Here is a 19,766-nt window from a genome sequence, read left to right as displayed (position 1 = left end):
GTGTATAAAATCATTTTCAGTATAGTTTAGGTAAGGTAATCAGCTAGTCAGAGATCTGTGCTGTGTCAACAAACCTTGTCTAAATTTCTTTGCATTTCTCTTTTCTTTTGCTTCAGAGGAGTCCCAGGAAGGTGAGAAACCTACAGTCTCAAATTCTTGTAGTCTTAAACTCTTTAGCTTCGAGGCACTCTGATTCATTCTCCTAACAAATCACTTCATGTTTTAGGTGTTTTCCAAACTGTTTGAAGTTACTAGACGTCGAATGGTTCACCGTGCTCTTTCATCAGCACAGCGACAGAGACTGTCATCCAACAATAACAAGAAGAAAAATTAGACAGTATTTTTAACCTTTTTCTCTATCTGAAGTGTTCACACTTACACATGTAGGACAATAAGCAGGACCGTCTGGGCCGGTCTGCATAAATGCTGTATACATACCAGATTTGATGCTGCATATAGGGTATGGAATTGCACATCCATCTCATAGGAATTGTAAATGGTTTGAATAAGAGGAAAGTAATTTTTGTTGCATTATAAAATGTCTAGTAGCATCATAAGTTTTTTTGAGAGAAGCATCTTTTTATTTCCCATATTCCTGGTTATTTTCATCATTGCTTTGAATTGAATTTTTATATCTATTTTTATATGTAACTCTTTTTTTACCTCATGTTTTTGTTTGTTTTGCACATTTCTCATACCACAGGTATTGAAGCCCCTGGGTGATAATTTGATGGAGGAAAACATAAGGCAGTCTGTAACAAACTCTATCAAAGCAGGCCTGACTGACCAGGTGTCTCATCATGCCAGATTAAAGACAGACTGACAGTTCATCTCCTCACGGACTCCACTCTCTTTTTTTTTCATGCTTGCTGTACAATGAGAACTCAAATAAAAATAAACCAAAGTTTACAATCAACTGTAGAAGTAGTTTAGTGTAACTGGCTTCACAGATGGCTGCCACAGAGTGTGAAGATTGTTTGTTAGTTTTAAGCATTCTTTTAATGGCTCCTAAGACATGCAGATGGACTGAGGAGCATTGGTTAATCATGCACCTTTGTGCCATGTTTAACTCTTTTATTTCTTTTTACTTAATCTAATGTTAGTGAATTTGTCTTATGTAAAAGGATATTTCAGGGAAATATTTTCAGAAATCTATTTAGAGTCTCTTTAACACAGTGTCCCATTGAAATTTTAATTTTTAGAGAATTTATGAATCACTGTTTCAAGAACCAGATTGGAAAGACAATGAAGCCTTTATTGAGCCACTACATTAAAAGTATATATTGCTTTACTGCCTTCAATACCAGTATTACATCAATGCATGTATCAGAAACTTCACAGAAATTACATGGCAACTCTTGTAGCTAAGAAAGTAATTCTGAGGTGTACATTTGTCTTGCCTTTTTAAATTTATAAACTTGCCCTAAAAGGAGATGCATATCTGGGAAACTGAACTGTCTTTTTGCAGTTTAGCCTTCATGTATATAAAATATGCCATTAATTTTATTGGGGAAGAAATTCCATCCAAAAATGTTGCCTACAGCTATGAGTTAAGAGTGTCTGTACAGTGTGTAGCTTTTATTTTCTAAAATCACAGATAGGGCATGTATATGACTTATAAATATATAAATACGATTTTGTATTAAAAGTTTTGTAGTTTATGGCAAAATCTGGTCCTGTGGTAGGCTAAATAAGTACTGTCCCTGTGAAAGGAATGTTTGTGGCTCATGTCAGTGTGTGAATGCATAGACAATTTGAAGTTTTTGATATATTTGTGATATTTATCTTGAGCACTGCAATCTCACCCCCCCCCCGCCCACCAAGGGAATTCAATGGGAATGTTTATTGTGACTTTGTCCTCTGTTGCATTTTAAAGTTATTTCCTGTAATTTATTTTCAGTACATAATTAAAAATTTGTTGTATATATAAAATGAAACTTGTGATTCTTTTTTAAGGAATTTTTCAAGTATGTATTCCACTTCATAAACCACATTTGTTTATAGTGAAAAGAGCATGAGCAGGAAACACCCCAGTTGAGAGCTCTAAGGCATTGTACCTCAAAACTAAGCTTGTAAAAAGTTACTTTTCTGTGTCTGTCTCTATAAGGGAAAACCTATGATTAGCCTAGTTGTAGATGGGGATTGTTAATTTCTTTCTCTCTCTTTTTTTTTTTTTGGTGGTATATGTAAGGCTAGCATTTTTTCAGTACTTTTGTGGTCTTCTTTGTGAACACCGATTAAAGTACCTAGTTTTGTTTGTTTCTTTTTTGAGACGGAGTCTCTCTCTGTCACCCAGGCTGGAGTGCAGTGGTGCGATCTTGGCTCACTGCAACCTCCACCTCCTGGGTTCAAGTGATTCTCCCGCCTCAGCCTCCTGAGTAGCTGGGACTACAGGTGCGTGCCACCATTCCCGGCTAATGTTTTCTATTTTAAGTAGAGATGGGGTTTCACCGTTTTAGCCAGGATGGTCTCAATCGCCTGACCTTGTGATCCGCCTGCCTTGGCCTCCCAAAGTGTTGGGATTACAGGCGTGAGCCACCGCGCCCGGCCCTTAGTTTGCTTTTTAAGCGAAGAGAATGCAGGTGTTGAGTTGCATGTGTGAAAACTCTGAATTTACTTTGGTTGATACATCTTCGCTCCCACTCCCATTCAGATTCTGTTTTTATATGGATTGTATTTGTTTTCATCTGTATTAAATTGCTAACTTATCTGTTCTTAAAGAATCCACCTGAAAAGTGTCTTTTTATTTCTTCTGCCACCCTGTTTTATGAATGCTGTGGACTGTTTTTTATGAATGAAAAAATAATTTGTTGTATAATAGCAGATTTTCTGAAATTAAAGACAGCTTACTTTTAAAAAGTTATAAAATCTAGACCATTGGCTTTCTTACATTTCTTGTCAGAAAAGAGTGCTTTACTCAAAGAAGACAATTCTCTACAGGATTTAAGTCCATTTCACACTTTTAAGCTTTAGCCTAAACATTCATGTCCTGGATTCCCTCCTTTCCTCTAACTTGACCAGAATGGATCTGCGCATCTCAGGTTTTTTCCATTCGTGTGATAGTCGTGGAGTGAGGATGAAAATTAGCTTGAGTTGCTGTGCATCTGGTAGCCATCTTCTCACTTGGCCAGAGATTACTCATCAAATGACTATTGTACTTGGATTCTGTTGGGAGCCTCTGCCATAAAGAGAATGCGACTTTGGGGAGTCTTCCAGTTATTGGTTCCTGTCAAAGCTAGATTGGGGGTTTCCCAGGCAGCACAGAGAATTGCTCCCTTACCTTCTCTACTGAAGTCTTAGATCCTAGGAACTCCTGTCTTTCAGATTTACATTTTGCTGGAAGTTAGACCGAGGAATTGAGCTGCCCTTAATGTACTCAGTGAAATACAACTTTTATATCCTTTTAGGATCGTGAAATCTGCAGCCAAATGTATCAGCTGAATAGGTCCAAACTGCCTAGAGATACACATGAAAGGGCTTAGGGGAGGGAAGTCACAGCCTTTGCATAGCTCAATAAGGCACCTCCATACGTATGTTAGTACTCTCCATACTCATGGCAGTCCTGTGTGATAGATAGGAAACCATCAAAAAGAACCTTGGGCATCTCAGGCTTGCAACTTAGGACTCTACTACACACCTCCAGAAGTTTGAATCTGTTTGAAGCTTCAGACAATGATAAGTAATGTTCCCAACTCAAGATGCAAGGACTGTCTTGGCTGCATTCCTAGAGGCACTAAGTGGAGAAAGTAACATCTTGCTAATACCGAAACAAGCTGAAAATTACCCATAACATTACCACTCTAAAAAATGAATCGATGCAAAAAGTGAAAATGTTCCTGTCCATTTGATTGTACACCTGAGAGAGAACCATTACTTTGGTGTGTGCTATTGAAACCTTCCCTCTGCTTATTGACAAGTCTGTATATGCATAAAACATACTTGTTTTTTGTTTTACATAAAAATAGAATTATCCTGTACATGATGTTTTTTTTTTTTTTTTCATGTAATGGGATATTTTCCTAGGTCATTATGTAATTATTTAATGGTTACTTTGATTCTTAGGGTAGGTGGAGTTTTAAGGAGAGAACAATAGACCTGGGATCATTGCTGAGATGGCTGGGCTCTGTGTCCCCACTCAAAGCTCATCTTGAATTGTAATCCCCATAACCCCCATAATCACCAGGTGGAACTTGGTGGGAGATGATTGGATTGTTGGGGGCAGTTTCCCCCATGCTGTTCTCGTGATAGTGAGTTCTCACGAGATCTATTTGGTGGTTTTATAAGGGGCTCTTCCCTCTTCACTCATTCAATCTGTCTCACCTGCTGCCACGTAAGACGTGCCTCTTTGCCTTCAGCCTTGATTGTAAGTTTCCTGAGGCCTCCCCAGTCGTGGAACTGTGAGTCAAACCTCCTTTTATAAATTACGCAGTCTTGGGTATGTCTTTACAGCAGTGTGAAAATGGACTAAAACAACTGCTAAGAGTTTTCTTTTTATGACAGTTTTCCTCCTATAATAGGATTGTTGAGAGAATCAAATAAAATGTGAAGAAAGGGTGCTTGGGAAGCAGGTACAAGAACAGAAAATCGTGCCCTCAATTTTGCTTGTTTTAAGGCTGCATCTTCTGACTGTTTGGCCACCTGTACTTGAAGCTTGTCCATAACTTACTCCCCGACCACCCCCACCCCATCCCCGGCATTTGGGCTGTTATTTAAGAGTTCTCTAACTTTCTGACAAATTTTTATGGTAATTAGTAAACAACATACTCATTCTGGCCAAATGGGTCTGCAGCCCCTGACAAGAGAGGTCATCTAAAATGGCATGGTTTAGACTTGCCCGTTACAAAACATGAAGACTACCTAAAAACTCAACCTAGATCTGGAAGAATGCTTAAATTTCAATTCTAAGCAAAGGAGATGACCTTATGGTTAAAACTGAGCTTTGTTTCTAGCTCCACCACGCAAGCTTCATGAATTTGTGCTAACGCTTATATAGCAGTTGAGCCTCAGCTTCTTCATCTATAAAATAGGAATAATATTACCCCTCACAGATGTTAGGAGGATGTGATGAGAATTTCCACATCCTGGCAGACTTTTAAATCTTTTTTATGGCGTTGATATTTGTAAACAAACACCTGTCTTCTAAATCGTACTTATTTTTAACTTCCTCTGTTTCCTGAAGAGGATAAACAAGGTGAATTTTGGAGGATGGTGGTCATTGTTATTTTTGTCTATGGAAGAAAGCATTTGTCAGTACTTTCCCCTAAATGGGTTGAGCTCCTCGGAAAGAAGAAACCATACTTTGTGCACTTTTTTTTTACATTATCAAACATTTTTGTGCATACTAAATGCTCAGAATGTTTTAACATGGACTGGATTAGTCAACTTCACCTCAATCTGCCTTCCATACTTAGGCATATGCCACCTGCTGTAGGTAAGCTTAGTGGTTATTTGGCAACTGTGGGATCCTAAATATCAGTGGTTGCTTTTTCTGCCCTTGGCATCAAAATAATCAAACTATGAAGGAATATGATCATTAAAAACCCTCTGGTAAAATAACTTTGGGGGATGGTGAGGGTAGGCTACCTTATGGATTTGGGTTCTCCTTTTTTTTTTTTTTTTTTGAGATGGAGTCTTGCTCTGTCACCTAGGCTAGAGTGCAGTGGCACAATCTCGGCTCACTACAACCTCTGCCTCCCAGGTTCAAGCGATTCTCCTGCCTCAGCCTTACGAGTAGCTGGGATTATAGGCACCTGCCACCACACCTGGCTAGTTATTGTATTTTTAGTAGAGATGGGATTTCACCTTGTTAGTCAGGCTGATCTCAAACTCCTGACCTCAGGCAATCCACCCACCTCAGCCTCCCAAAGTGCTGGGATTACAGGTGTGAGCCACTGCACCTGGCCTGTGTTATTTTTAAAACTTCAGTATACTGATTTGATCTAATGCATTTTCCTAAGTATCTGCTTATAAGTCCTACCAGAATTGGGTTTACAGGCCTGTATAATGTGTGTTTATCTCCAAGAGGGATGTTTATATTATTTAGAGAGGACAGGGCAGTTTTTCCTGGGAAGACTGAAGGTTTTCTGTGTGTTGGGGGGTATAAACATGTTTAGCATCTATACTGAATGCTGCCAGTGCTCATGCAATAGCCTTGGGGTGGGTATTCTTATCTCTGATTTTATAGAGGAGGCATCTCAGGTTCAGAGAGGTCAACCACATTTACCAAAGTGAGGGTGCTCCGGGATTGGAAACCAGGTCTACTGGCTTTAGAGTCCAGAGAGCTATGTACTTACCCACCCTATCACACCGCTGTGAAGAATAAATAGTCCCACCCAGAGAAGAGGAAAGAGAGAGAAGGGTGGATATCAGGAAGGAATACAGAAATGGTTCAGCGTGGCTGTACTAGGGAGTTACTGAAGGGCAGAGACGGATGTAGGAGTGGAGTTGAAGTTTAAAGACCTGGGCAAGATTGTGAAGGGCCTTTCAGATCAGGTAGAGGGGCTTGACATTTAGATATTAAGGTTACACGGACGATTCTTAGAAAAACACAACAGCTATGCGGCCAATTCTAATACTTTAGTATAGTTTCCCAAAGTATGAATTTTTATTTTTATTTTTTATTTTTTAAGGGATGGGGGTGGGGTCTCAAACTCCTGGGCTCAAGCAGTCCTCCCACCTCAGCCTCCCAAGTTGCTAGGGCTATGGACATGCACCACTCCACCTGGCTCGCTTTTTATTTTCGATTAGAGTCACCTGGAGTGCTGTGTGGCCGCCCCCCACCCGCCCCCACATTGCATAGTGAATTTATTTATTTTTTATTATACTTTAAGTTCTAGGGTACGTGGGCACAACGTGCAGGTTCATTACATATGTATACATGTGCCATGCTGGTGTGCTGCACCCATTAACTCATCTTTTATGTTAGGTATATCTCCTAATGCTATCCCTCCCACCCTGCATAGTGAATTTAAATCTGTATTTCTACCAGGTCTCTCAGATAATTCTAATGCATACTGAAGCCTGAGATCAGTGTTAAGTGTTTCCTAATGAGTAGCAGAATTATGGATTTCTCCTGCTGTTTTTATACCTTCCTGACTAAGAAAGCTTTCTGCACAGACAGAGCTGAAATTATGTTGTTGTACTGTGTTGTTTCCCTGGGAGGAAGGTGGAGCTTGTATTGGGAAGGAAAGATCTTGGCAATAGATTGAAAGTGTGCTCTTCTTCCATATTAAAGTAAATGTTATCTCTCAAATTAGAGACCCATTCTCAAGCTTGGATCTTCTTTCAAAACTATGTCATTTTGCTTCACAAACTTTGTACTTGTTCTTTCCTTTTAAATACTTTTGTGAAGGAACACAATAGTTTTAGACATAGCTGATGATTGCAGTCTTCTTTCATTTCATTAGGGAAATGTTTAAGAATGATTATGAGACTTCATAATGTTCCCTGTTCTTTCATCAGCTTTTGAATACAGAGAAAAGAAACTCAGGACTAAATTGTATAAATCAGCAGATCGTACCTTCTATCAAAATATAATCCTTAAAATTATACATGACTGTTGTCCAAATACACAATGAATACATAATAAAATTTATTCAACTTCTTAATGAGGAAACCGGAGATGGCAAAAGGCTGTTTCAAAGCAGAATTGGAGAAATAGGAGTTATGTAGTCCACCAGGAAGGGCATTTTGAAATGAGTATGCTGAGTAATGTGCGCCCTTAGTAGTAAATGGCAACGCCAAACAAATATAGATCAGTGAGTCTCAGACTTGAGTCTCAGGATCCCCTTTGGCTCTTAAAAATTGAGGCCTCCAAATGATCTGCCAATATTTATCTTATTAGAAATTAAAACAAAAATGTTAAAACATTAAAAAATAAGCTCATTATATGTTAACTTTTAAAAATTACATATATTAAAAGTATGTAATATGCCATTTTATATAGTGAAATGATACTATAGTCAAGCAAATTAACATATTCATCATCTCACATGGTTACCCCCTCCTTTTTTTTTTTGTACTAAGTGCATCTAAAAGCTGTCTTAGCAGATTTCCAATACACAATACAATATTATTAACTGTAGTCCTCATGCTGTGCGTTAGATCTCTAGACTTACCCTTTGACCTACATCTTCCCATTTCCCCTGCTCCTGGTAACCACCATTCTACTCTCTGTTACTGTGTATTTGATTTTTTTTCCTCTTTCTTTCTGTTACTTTTAGATTCCACACATAAGTGAGATCATGCAGTATTTTTCTGTGTTTGACTCATTTCACTTACCATAACGTCCTCTAGGTTCCTTGTCACAAACGGCAGGATCTCCTTTTTTAAGGCTGAATAATAGTTCATTGTGTGTTTGTATATATATATATACACACACACTATATATACACACACAATCTGCTAGGATTCAATGCATAAAGAAATATATACATTTCTTCAGCAATTTGCCTAGAAGCCTTCTTGATAGGCATGTTAAGCAATGTCCCTGTATGACTTTGAAAGGACATGATCTACTGCCTTTTCCTTTATTTTTAAGTTTTAGATATTTTTTCAAAGCTCATTTCATGCACCTTTACCAGAAACAGATTGGGTCAGACAGACCAAATAAATTCCATGTGTAAACAGTAGAAATTGAGACTGTACTATAAACCCCTTTCTTTAAGCAATCCCCCTCAAACAAACAAAAGCCCCCTTTTTTAATTCAATCTGAAAAATGCACAAGAAAATCTGAAAGTATAAAGACATTCACCCTTAAGATTTTGATGTACTCATCAGAGATAAACACTGATGCCATTTTCCCCCTTCTCATCTGTTACTTGTGTTAGTGTGTACAAGGAAGTAGTCCTCTGTATTTGTGGGTTCTGCATCCATGGATTCGGCCAGCCTGGGGTGGAAAATTGAAAAGAGTGGATGGTTGCATCTGTACTGAGCATGTACAATACAGACTTGTTTTCCTTGTCATTATTCCCTAAACAACTAGTTTTATAGCGCTGACGTTGTATTAGTTATAAGTAATCTAGAGATGATTTGAATCATATGGGAGGATATGTGTAGCTTCTATGCCAATACCAGGCCATTTTCTGTAAGGGACTTGAGCATTGTGGATTTTGGTATCCACAGGGATCCTGGAACTGATCGCCCATGGATACTGGGGGATGACTGTATTTGAAAGTTTGGTTACTGGGCTGTACATACCCTGGCCTTACCCCCTAGAGATTCTAATTCAGTTGATCTGTGTGCAGGCATCAGTACTTTCAAAAGTTCCCCAGATGATTCTGTTGTGCGGCTAGGACTGAGAACCACTACCTAATCTAACCCCACCTTCAACTCTTCCATGGCCTCCCACACCTGTCTTTTGTGTTCTCTATAATCCACGGTCTGTTATTAGCAATTTGCCAAAACACTTTTTCTCTGTGTGTGCTTTCTCTTCATTTTTCACTTTAACTGAAACCCTGGTGTCTTCTATTCCCCTAGTAGAATGTCTCCCCTGCAGCCCTCTCAAGGCTGACTTGCTCCCTCCCTAGCTACTGCCGGTCCTAACAGAGGTGATGTTCCTGTGCTCCATTGCACCCTTTCAAGTCTTTTTTCTATTAAACAACAAATAAAACAGCTTCTTTAAAGTTATCAGACTTTTCCACTTGTCACCCCAACTTACTGTGGGCAATCTTACTGACCTCCCTACCACCCCTCCTCCTTCGTTGATAACTCTGGCACCTGGCTTCCAGCCTTTTTCTCTTGTTCCTTCTGTGGTCATTCTTGGATCCTTAATGCCACATGAATGACCCATCCCATCCCTTGATTTCTTCAGCCCCCAAAAGACCTCCTGTCCTCCATGTCTACTCATTCATAAGTCATACCCTTCTACTATGTCATTACTACCTCCCAAATCTAGATTTTATGGCTTCCTTTCAGTTCATTGACTGCAGTGTTTCCTTTCAAACAATCCTCTAATCTCATGGAAGCCTTATCCTTTCACCCTACTGCTTGTTCATACATATTGCCCTCATCTCCTTGCCTTCTTACTCAGCTAAGATGCAGTGGTCCAGCACTACAACCATTCCTTTATAAATATCCTTAGCTACCCTGTGTACCCACTTGATGAAACTTCAGCTCTGTTTTTAAACCCAAGTCTCTACCTGTACCTATACCTAGCAGCTGAATATTGTTGGTGAAAATCATGGAATCCTGCTGACTAGAGTATCTTTTTTTTTTTTTTTTTGGCTGAGCACAGAGGACTTTATTGGTGGTACATGACAAGGTGGGGCTCCCTAGACCCCTCCCTCTTCAGGGGGTCTGGATGGAAACTGTGAGGAGGGGAGATTCTCAGTGTGGTAGGAGACCTAGTGCAATAGGGGATTCCTAGCAGCTGAGGGCCTGAGGCTGGTGGTCTGGGGGTCTTACTTCTTGGAGGCCATGTGGGCCATGAGGTCCACTGCCCTGTTGTTGTAGCCAAATGCATTGTCATAACAGGAAATGAGCTTGACAAAATGGTCATTGAGGGCAATACCAGCCCCATCATTGAAGGTGGAAGAGTGGGTGTCACTGTTAAAGCTGGAGGAGACAACGTGGTGCTCAGTGTAGTCCAGGATGCCCTTGAGGGGCCTCTGATGCCTGTTTCACCACCTTCTTGATGTCATCATATTTGGCAGGATTTTCCAGATGGCAGGTCAGATGCATGACCGACACATTGGTGGTGGGGACACGGAAGGCCATGCTAGTAATCTTCCCATTCATCTCGGGGATGACCTTGCCTACAGCTTTGGCAGCACCAGTAGATGCAGGGATGATGATCTGGAGAGCCCCGTGGCCATCACACCACAGTTTCCTGGAGGGTCCATCTACAGTCTTCTGGGTGGCAGTGATGGTGTGGGTCGTGGTCATGAGTCCTTCCACAATACCAAAGTTGTCATGGATGAGCTTGGCCAGGGAGGCTAAGAAGTTGGTGGTACAGGAGGCAATTGCTGATGATCTTGAGGCTGTTTTCATATTTCTTATGGTTCACGCCCATCATGAACATGGGGGCGTCAGCAGAGGGAGTAGAGATTATGACCCTTTTGGCTCCCTGCTGCAAGTGAGCCCCAGCCTTCTCTGTGGTGGTGAAGACACCGGTGGACACCCAAATGTACTCAGCGTCAACATTGTCCCATTTGATTTTGGTGGGATCTCGCTCCTGAAAGATGGTGATGAGATTTCCGTTAATGACAAGCTTCCCATTCTCAGCCTTGACAGTGCCATGGAATTTGCCATGGGTAGAACCACACTGGAACACGTAGACCATGTAGTTGAGGCCAGTGAAGGGGTCACTGATGGCAACAATATCCACTTTACCAGAGTTAAAAGCAGCCCTGGTGATCTGGTGCCCAATGTGGCCAAATCTGTTGACTCTGGCCTTCACCTTAACCATGGTATCTCAGGATGTGGCTGGTGCTACACGAGAAGATATGGCTGTCTGTCAAATGGGAGGAGCGGAGAGCCCTGACTAGAGTATCTTCAACTGCATTATCACAATTCTGAAATAGGTACTCAGCTGTCAACCCAAAATAAAATTCTAAGATGTCCCCCAACTATCTGAATGGACTTTGTCCTTGGCCAGTGCACTCTTAAAATTAAACCTGAAAGACCAGTTCAGGCCATGATAGGAAGTGGGGGTCGGACATGCCTCATTAAACCTCTCAGGCATTCACATCAACACAGACTTTAAGTCTGATAAGAAACGTTTTACAGCCTATTCTCTCTGAAGCCTGCTACCTGAAGACTTCCTCTGCAAATAAGAACTTTGGTCTCCACAATCTTTTATCTTAACCCAGACATTTCCTTTCTATTTATCCCAGGTCTTCAGATAAACTCAACCAATTGTCAGTCAGAAAATTTTTAAATCTACCTATAGCCTGGCAGATTTAAAAGGATGTTTAAAGACATTACTATGAAGATTTTCAAACATGAAAGTAGAGAGAATAGTGTAATGAAGTTTCATGTACCCATCACCCAGTTTAAATGGTTATCAGCACATACGCAGTCTGGTTTTATCTACACACTTCCATTCCCCCCATCTGAAGCTTGACTATTTTGAGGGAAATCCCAGGTATTATATCATTTCTCTCATAAATACTTCAGCATATATCAGTAACCACAATACCTTTATCCTAAAATAATAGATCATTACTTAATATCAAATATCCAGTCAGCATTCAAATTTCCCCAGTTGTCTCATGAATATCTTTGTTATCACCAATGTCCCTGACCATCCACTACAAGAGGTTGAACTTAGTATTCATGTGCGTTGCCACGTTGGGTGGCATGAGCTCTATGCATCACTGATTTTCTCAAAATTTAAGGGGGATCCATCTACCTTACCTCTTAATTCTTTACAAGTTGCACATCTAGCATGAATCATTTTAGGTTTCATTGACCAGGGCATGTTTTAGTACAAACAAATGAAAACACCCAGTACCTTCCTTCTACCTTCTCTTTCTCCTATCCCCCAAACAAAATTGCATTTCAGAATTAAAAGCTTTGTGTTCTTGAGATAGTTATCATTACAGTTGTAGGAACCTGAGGAAAGATTATGCTGTTGACTCAGTAACTTCCTGCTCTGAATCTGACTTCTTGCTCAGGCAGAATTTTTCAAGGTGAATGTAGAAAATGAAGTTGGAAGGGCCAAGGAAGAGGGCTGCAGTAGTGGTAGTAGCAGTAGTAGTAATACAGCAATTATAGAAACAGTCATTCATTCATTCATTCATTTGATCATTCAGTTTATTCATTCCACAAGTATTTATTAGGTACCATATGTCATGTATAAATACCAAATATTTATATGGTACCATATGTTGTATGCAGGAGGATAGCAGTTGTAGGAGCAGTAATTATTCATTTGATCAATTTATTCATTTCACAGATATTTATCAGGTACTAGTTACAGGCATTAGGGAAATGTCAAAGAATAAAAGAGACAAAAATGTCAGTCTTTGTAGAAAGTCAGGCAAAAATGTAATAAAGTAAATTCAGTGGTTTGTTAGAATGTGGTAAGTGCTATAGAAAAAAATAGAATAGGATGAGGAGTGCTGGGGGTGCGAGGGTTTACTATTTGAAATAGGATGGTGAGGGTAAGCATTCTTGAGAGGCAACATTTGAGCAAAGACTTGGAGGAGATGAAGCAATGAGCCATGCAAATATTTTGGGGAAGAGTATTCCAGAGAAAAGGAACAGGCATGCTAAGGCCTGCAGAATGAGTGTGGGTATCATGTTAAAAGGATAGGAAGGAGGTGAGTCTGACTAGGAGGGAATGAACAACGGGCAGAAAGTGATGAGATCGGGGAAGTATTAGGGGGCATGGCCTTGGAGGTCCTGTAGGCTGTTGAAAGGAATTGTTAGTAGGACGGAAACTGGGAACCATTAGGTCATGTTGAGCAAAAGAGTGACTGAAGTGGACTTAAATTTTGATTGGGTCATCTTGGCTATTGTGATGAGAATAGACTTGAGGGTAAGGAGGGGATAGAGTAGAAAAAGATTAATTAAGAAGTGACTGAAATAGTCCAGGTGCACGATAATAATGACCCTGGGTCACATGAAAAGAAGTAGACTTTGAATATATTTTGATGAATTGAGAAGTCATGATGTAAGTATTTCCTAGATATAAGTTACTTTGCCTGTAACGTTTCTAATTTTTACAACAGTGCTTGAAAGTTTTCAAAGATGAGGAAACTGAGGCTGAGAGTGGCAGGGCCAATTGTCCACAGGCGCACAGCTATGAAACTTTCCTATATGCATCAGCCTTCCTTGTTCTAACAGTGGAATGCATGCTAGATAATTTAAGTAGGAAGGGAAGCACAAAGGCTATTTGAAACCCACAGAAGTTTTAGAGAAGCTAGGCTTACCTTTTTGGAAAGCTCCCAGAACCATACCTCAAAATTGAGCATGTAAAAGAACTGGAGCCATAACATAGCCTCTGCCGTGGGTGGTGGAAACAGCTGCCATCACCACTGACTTCATCACCAGGCTGCCTTTGCTGCCCTTGAGCCAGTGAAATACCTGTCTTGGTCTTTCTCAGAAAACTGATTTTCATTTTTTTTTTGAGACAGAGTCTCACTCTGCCGCCGAGGCTGGAGTGCAGTGAGTGGCACAATCTCAGCTCACTGTAACTTCTGCCTCCCGGGTTCAAGTGATTCTCCTGCCTCAGACTCCCGAGTAGCTGGGACTACAGGTGCCTGCCACCATGCCTGGCTAATTTTTGTATTTTTAGTAGAGACAGGGTTTCACCATGTTGGCCAGGCTGGTCTCGAACTTCTGACCTCAGGTGATCGGCCTGCCTTGGCCTCCCAAAGTGCTGGGATTACAGGCATGATCCACTGCGCCTAGCCATAGAAAACTCATTTTCAAAATAAAGTCTTGTGTATGTATCTCTGATTGGTAGAAGCTAATACACCTGTTGATAGCCTAATTTCAATGCACTATATAAAAATTATTCTATATGAGGGATGAAGGATTAACACTTGGGGAGTGATTAAAGTGGGGAGAGTGTGTTTGAAAGACTCAAAGTAGGCTCAAATGACGGAGTTCCCTGCAGTTCACTTTCTGGCTGTGCAAGGTCAACATAGACCCTTACTCTATCTTCACATCTCCAACCTGAACAGCCATGCCACTATCCCTTATACAAAACATGCTACTCCCTCCTCAAAAGAGGAAGCCCCAGATCCCAATTTATTGCAGTTAGCTCTAAATTCAAGATTTTTGTTTGATGTTTACCATTCCATCTTTATATCCCGAAAATTATATATAAATTGTAAAAGTAACTGACCAATTATATAGAATAATTGGAGAAGGATGAAGGGGCATAAAAAGAATTAGTATACATACTTATATATTTAAAACCCACCAAGGAAGGAGAAAAATAAGGCCATAGTTGACCTTTACTTATCTCCTGTTCCCATTGCCCTTAGCCACACCTTTGGCTTTACCTGGTGGAGTGACCCAAACCTTTATTCTTGAGGGATTGGAGCCCTTGATGGTCCTCTACTTCTCTAGGGTTGCTCTAGTCCTTTGGTAACTTTCACCATTAAACAAGGCAGTATGAGAAGAGCCCTCAGAGGATCCCCTAATTTCCAAACATTCCTACCTGCCTGTTTCATGTAGTACAAATCCTATTTTCCCTTGATGCTCAGGATCAATGACCTCAGATAAAATGGTAACACTGCCCCTCCCCCCTGCCCCTACCCATTATTTGCTTGTTTAGTGATTTTGTGTAAGGAGCCTGAAATGGTGAGTGCCAGCCTCAACTGGTAGAAGCATTGCTCTGATGAAACATTTCTCTCTTGGACATTCATGTTTCTAAACTAGCAGAATCTAAAATCACAGGGATGGCAAACAAACATTTTGCAATTGGATCGAAAAATCTAAAGTGGAAGTTGTCACACTCACTTTTATTTATTGATACCCAGACATAAATTCTGGTTGTTGGCGAAATACCATTCGATTCCTGTTAACAGCATGTGTCCTGCACATGGTAGGACAACACCCAGTTTTACAAAGTGCTGTCTCTTGGCTGGTACTGGAGAGTTCAGAAGGCCATTCTGCCATTCTATAAAGTTACCTGCTTCACAGCAAAAGCATTCACTGGTCTTGCCATATATCCTGTGAGCACTGGCTTATTGCATTATTACTTTCGTTGTAAAATAAATTTCTTCATAAAAAGCACCTTTGGGGCTTGGCGCAGTGGCTCACGCCTGTAATCCCAGCACTTTGGGAGGCCAAGGCAGGCGGATCACCTGAGGTCAGGAGTTCGAGACCAGCCTGCCCAGCATGGTGAAAGCCCGTCTCTACTAAAAATACAAAAAAATTAGCCGGGCGTGGTGGCAGGAGCCTGTAATCCCAGCTACTCGGGAGACTAAGACAGGAGAACTGCTTGAACCCAGGAGGCAGTGGTTGCAGTGAGCTGAGATCGTGCCATTGCACTTCAGCCTGTGCGACAAGAGCCAGACTCTGTCTCAAAAATAAATAAATAAAAGCACCTTTGGGTGGAATATTATGGTCATGATTAAGGTATTTAGTATGTCTGCAAAGGATACCATGCAGGGGAATCTAATCCATAGCCAGAATGAGTGTCTCAGTGGAGAGAAATTGCAGCATTTCTGTGATGAAAGTGGTTCTTTGTAACCTTTTTTTTTTTTTCTTTTAGACAGAGTCTTGATCTCTTGCAAGGCTGGAGTGCAGTGGTGTGATCTCAGCTCACTGCAATCTCCGCCTCCCAGTTTCAAGCAATTCTCCTGCCTCAGCCTCCTGAGTAGCTGGGATTACAGGCGCACACCACCACAGCCAGCTAATTTTTGTATTTTTAGTAGAGATGGGGTTTCACTATGTTCATAGGCCAGGATGGTCTCGATCTCCTGACCTCAGGTGATCCGCTTGCCTTGGCCTCCCAAAGTGCTGGGATTACAGGTGTGAGCCACCGCGCCCGGCTCTTTGTAACCTTCTAACCAGATGCCAAACTAATCTCCTTGGGTTCCTGTACCGTACTGGAAGCTCAGAGTTGACAGATTGGGCTCTCAGCCATGGTCGTAGGCAGATTAGCTTCGGTGTGAAGTCTGTTTGCTGAGCCCAAGTGTCCCCTTCATTCCTCCTTCCATGATGACGGGGTTCCTGAAGCTATCAAGCAGGCACTGGAGTGGCTGGGGAGACAGTCTTTTACATTGTACTCAGGAATTCCTGACATCTCAACTTTATTTAGTGTAGGTCACTATTGAGTCCAGATTTTAGGACATAATTAGAATTATGTCCTAGGGCAAACCATTAGAACCTCTCCTAGTTTGCCTAATCATTTAACTTTGGAATCTCTAAAGTGAATTCTTGTTACAATGTAGCCCAATCTAGCATGATCTATCATCCACAGAATCCATTCTCACGAATAGTATTACTCAGGTTTTCTGAGTAAATAAGCAAAATTTGAAAAGCTTTTTTTTTTTTTTGGTTTTGGTATGTGTTTTCTCTAGGGTTCGACTTTGTAATTGGCCTCATGGGATAAATGGATATAATTATAGGTTTAGGTCCAGTAGAAATGACATGAGGAAAATTAGCATATCATTAAGGTAGCTATTACAGAGTCTTTAAGCAAGGTGGGGCTGGGTGCGGTGCCTCCTGCCTGGATTCCCAGCACTTTGGGAGGCCGAGGTGGGCGGATCACTTGAGGCCAAGAGTTTGAAACCAACCTGGCCACTGCACCCCAGCCTGGGCGACAGAGAGAGGCCCTGTCTCAAAAAAAAAAGAAAAAAAAAAGCAAGGTGGGATCAACTTTATCAAACAGAAGAAAAGCTGCTTCTCTCTCCAGAGCATCTCAGGGCATGCTCAGTGCTCCATCTGTCTCTACTCATTCACTTCCCCCAGTGTGAAATGCTCACGTTCTGTGTAGGTGATTCATATCTATGTCTCCCAAGGCTCAGCTTCTTCATGCCTGAGAGGTCAGGCCCATTTGATATTTCCCTTGTGTGGAGTCCTCTAGCCATTGTCTATGTCACATCCGTTGCTACTTACCTATATTCCCTTTAGTATTGCCCCACACATGCAAATTGTGTTGACTCCTCAGGTAAGCCTAGGCTGCTCCAACGAAGGTGCATAGATAGGGCCAGGCAACCCTCATCTCATTGTGCCTTGCTTTATTGTTCTTTGCATATATCACGCTTTTTTTTAAAATGGAAAATTTGTGGCAACCCCGCCTCAAGCAAGTCTATTGGTATCATGCTTCCAACAACATGTGCTCAGTCTGTGCCTCTGTTTCATTTTGGTAATTCTTGCAGTATTTCAAACATCTTCTTTATTATTATATCAGTTATGATCATCTCTGGTCAGTGATATTTGATGTTACTATTGTAATTGGGGCACTACAAACTGTGCCCAAAGAAGATGACAAACTTAATTGATACATGTTGTGTGTGTTCCGAATGTTCCAACCACTGGCCTTCCCCCATCACTCTCCCTCTCCTCAGGCTTCCCTTTTCCCTGAGACACAACAACATTGAAATTAGGCCAATTAATAACTCTACGATGACCTCTAAGTGTTCAAGTGATGAAGGGGTGGCCTGCCCCTCCACACCTGTGGGTGCTTCTTGTCAGGTGGACGAGAGACTTGAGAAAAGAAAGAGACACAGAGACAAAGTATAGAGAAAGAAAAGTGGGTCGAGGGGACCGGCGCTCAGCATACGGAGGACCCACACCAGCACCAGTCTGTGAGTTCCCTTAGTATTTATTGATCATTATCGGGCGTTTCTCGGAGAAGGGGATGTCGCAGGACAATAGGGTAATAGTGGAGAGAGGGTCAGCAGGAAAACATGTGAACACATATCTCTGCATCATAAACAAGGTAAAGAAAAAAGTGCTGTGCTTTTGATGTGCGTATACATAAACATCTCAATGCCTTAAAGAGCAGTTTTGCTGCCAGCATGTCCCACCTCCAGCCTTAAGGCGGTTTTCTCGTATCTCAGTAGATGGAATATACAATCGGGTTTTACACCAAGACATTCCATTGCCCAGGGATGAGCAGGAGACAGATGCCTTCCCCTTATCTCAACTGCAAAGAGGCCTTCCTCTTTTACTAATCCTCCTCAGCACAGACCCTTTATGGGTGTCGGGTGTCGGGCTGGGGGACGGTCAGGTCTTTCCCTTCTCATGAGGCCATATTTCAGACTATCGCACGGGGAGAAACCTTGGACAATACCTGGTTTTCCTAGGCAGAGGTCCCTGCGGCCTTCTGCAGTGTATTGTGTCCCTGGGTACTTGAGAATAGGGAGTGGTGATGACTTTTAACAAGCATGCTGCCTTCAAGCATTTGTTTAACAAAGCACATCCCGCAGAGCCCTTAATCCATTAAACCTTGAGTTGACACAGCACATATTTCTGTGAGCACAGGGTTGGGAGTAGGGTTACAGATTAACAGCATCTCAAGGCAGAAGAATTTTTCTTAGTACTGAACAAAATGGAGTCTCTTAGGTCGACTTCTTTCTACATAGACACAGTAACAGTCTGATCTCTCTTTCTTTTCCCCACAAAGTGAGAGGAAGTGTCACATGTCTCTCACTTTAAATCACAAGCTACACATGATTAAGCCTAGTGAGGAAGGCATGTTGAAAGCTAAGATATGTCAAAAAGTAGGTCTCTTGCACCAGTTAGCCAAGTTGTGAATGCAAAGGAAAAAGTTGTTGAAGGAAAGAAAAAGTGCTACTCTAGTGAAGATACAAATGATAAGAAAGCAAAACAGCCTTACTGCTGATTCGAAGAAAGTTTGAGTAGTCTCGATAGAAGATTAAACCAGTCACAACATTTTCTTAAGCCAAAGCCTAATCCAGAGCAAGGCCCCAACTCTCTTCAATTCTGTGAAAGCTAAGAGGTGAAGAAGCTGTAGAAGAAAAGTTTGAAGCTAGCAGAAGTTGGTTGATGATATTTAAGGAAAGAAGCCATCTCTATTACATAACGTAAAATCAAGGTGATGCAGTAAGTGCTAAAGTAGAAGTGGCAACAGGTTATCCAAGAGATCTAGGAAAGATCACTGATGAAGGTGGCTACACTAAATGACAGATTTTCAGTGTAGATGAGATAGTCTTATATTGGAAGAAGATGCCATCTAGGACTTTCATAGCTAGAGAGAAATGAATCCCTGGTTTCAAAGCTTTAAAGGACAGGCTGACTTTCTCGTTGGGGTCTAATGCAGCCAGCAACTTGAAGTTGAAGCCAATGCTCATTTACCATTATGAAAATCCTGGCCGGGTGCAGTGGCTCATGCC

General features: G+C 41.3%; 1 protein-coding gene and 1 pseudogene across 10 annotated transcripts in view, besides 2 other annotated features; one reads left to right on the top strand and one right to left on the bottom strand.

Moving 5' to 3' along the window:
• The window catches only part of ATL2 (atlastin GTPase 2), an 84,631-nt gene extending 81,768 nt beyond the window's left edge, over positions 1 to 2,863 (top strand). For 3 of the 10 annotated variants that reach the window (NM_001330462.1, NM_001330460.1, NM_001330459.1), the window contains 2 exons: positions 117 to 131; positions 227 to 2,860. In NM_001330462.1, the coding sequence (NP_001317391.1) occupies positions 117 to 131; positions 227 to 334 (123 nt within the window). In that variant the 3' untranslated portion in view covers positions 335 to 2,860. Of the gene's footprint in view, positions 1 to 116; positions 132 to 226 lie in introns of all 10 variants that reach the window. The other 7 variants (NM_001330458.2, NM_001135673.4, NM_001330464.2 and 4 more) reach the window with 4 other exon arrangements.
• Positions 10,222 to 11,477, bottom strand: GAPDHP25 (glyceraldehyde 3 phosphate dehydrogenase pseudogene 25; annotated as a pseudogene).
• Positions 17,799 to 18,782: an enhancer, noted in NCBI's record as "OCT4-NANOG-H3K27ac-H3K4me1 hESC enhancer chr2:38505177-38506160 (GRCh37/hg19 assembly coordinates)". NCBI's record gives its function as "activates a minimal SCP1, AML or CMV promoter by ChIP-STARR-seq in naive and primed H9 embryonic stem cells {active_cell/tissue: H9 hESC(naive and primed)}" and the evidence as "EXISTENCE:reporter gene assay evidence [ECO:0000049][PMID:30033119]".
• Positions 18,783 to 19,766: an enhancer, noted in NCBI's record as "OCT4-NANOG-H3K27ac hESC enhancer chr2:38504193-38505176 (GRCh37/hg19 assembly coordinates)". NCBI's record gives its function as "activates a minimal SCP1, AML or CMV promoter by ChIP-STARR-seq in naive and primed H9 embryonic stem cells {active_cell/tissue: H9 hESC(naive and primed)}" and the evidence as "EXISTENCE:reporter gene assay evidence [ECO:0000049][PMID:30033119]".

Source organism: Homo sapiens, chromosome 2, assembly GCF_000001405.40.
Source record: "Homo sapiens chromosome 2, GRCh38.p14 Primary Assembly".
In the NCBI taxonomy this organism is placed as follows: domain Eukaryota; kingdom Metazoa; phylum Chordata; class Mammalia; order Primates; family Hominidae; genus Homo; species Homo sapiens.
Note: the sequence above shows the minus strand (reverse complement) of the source record. Positions and strands in the feature narration are given on the sequence as shown.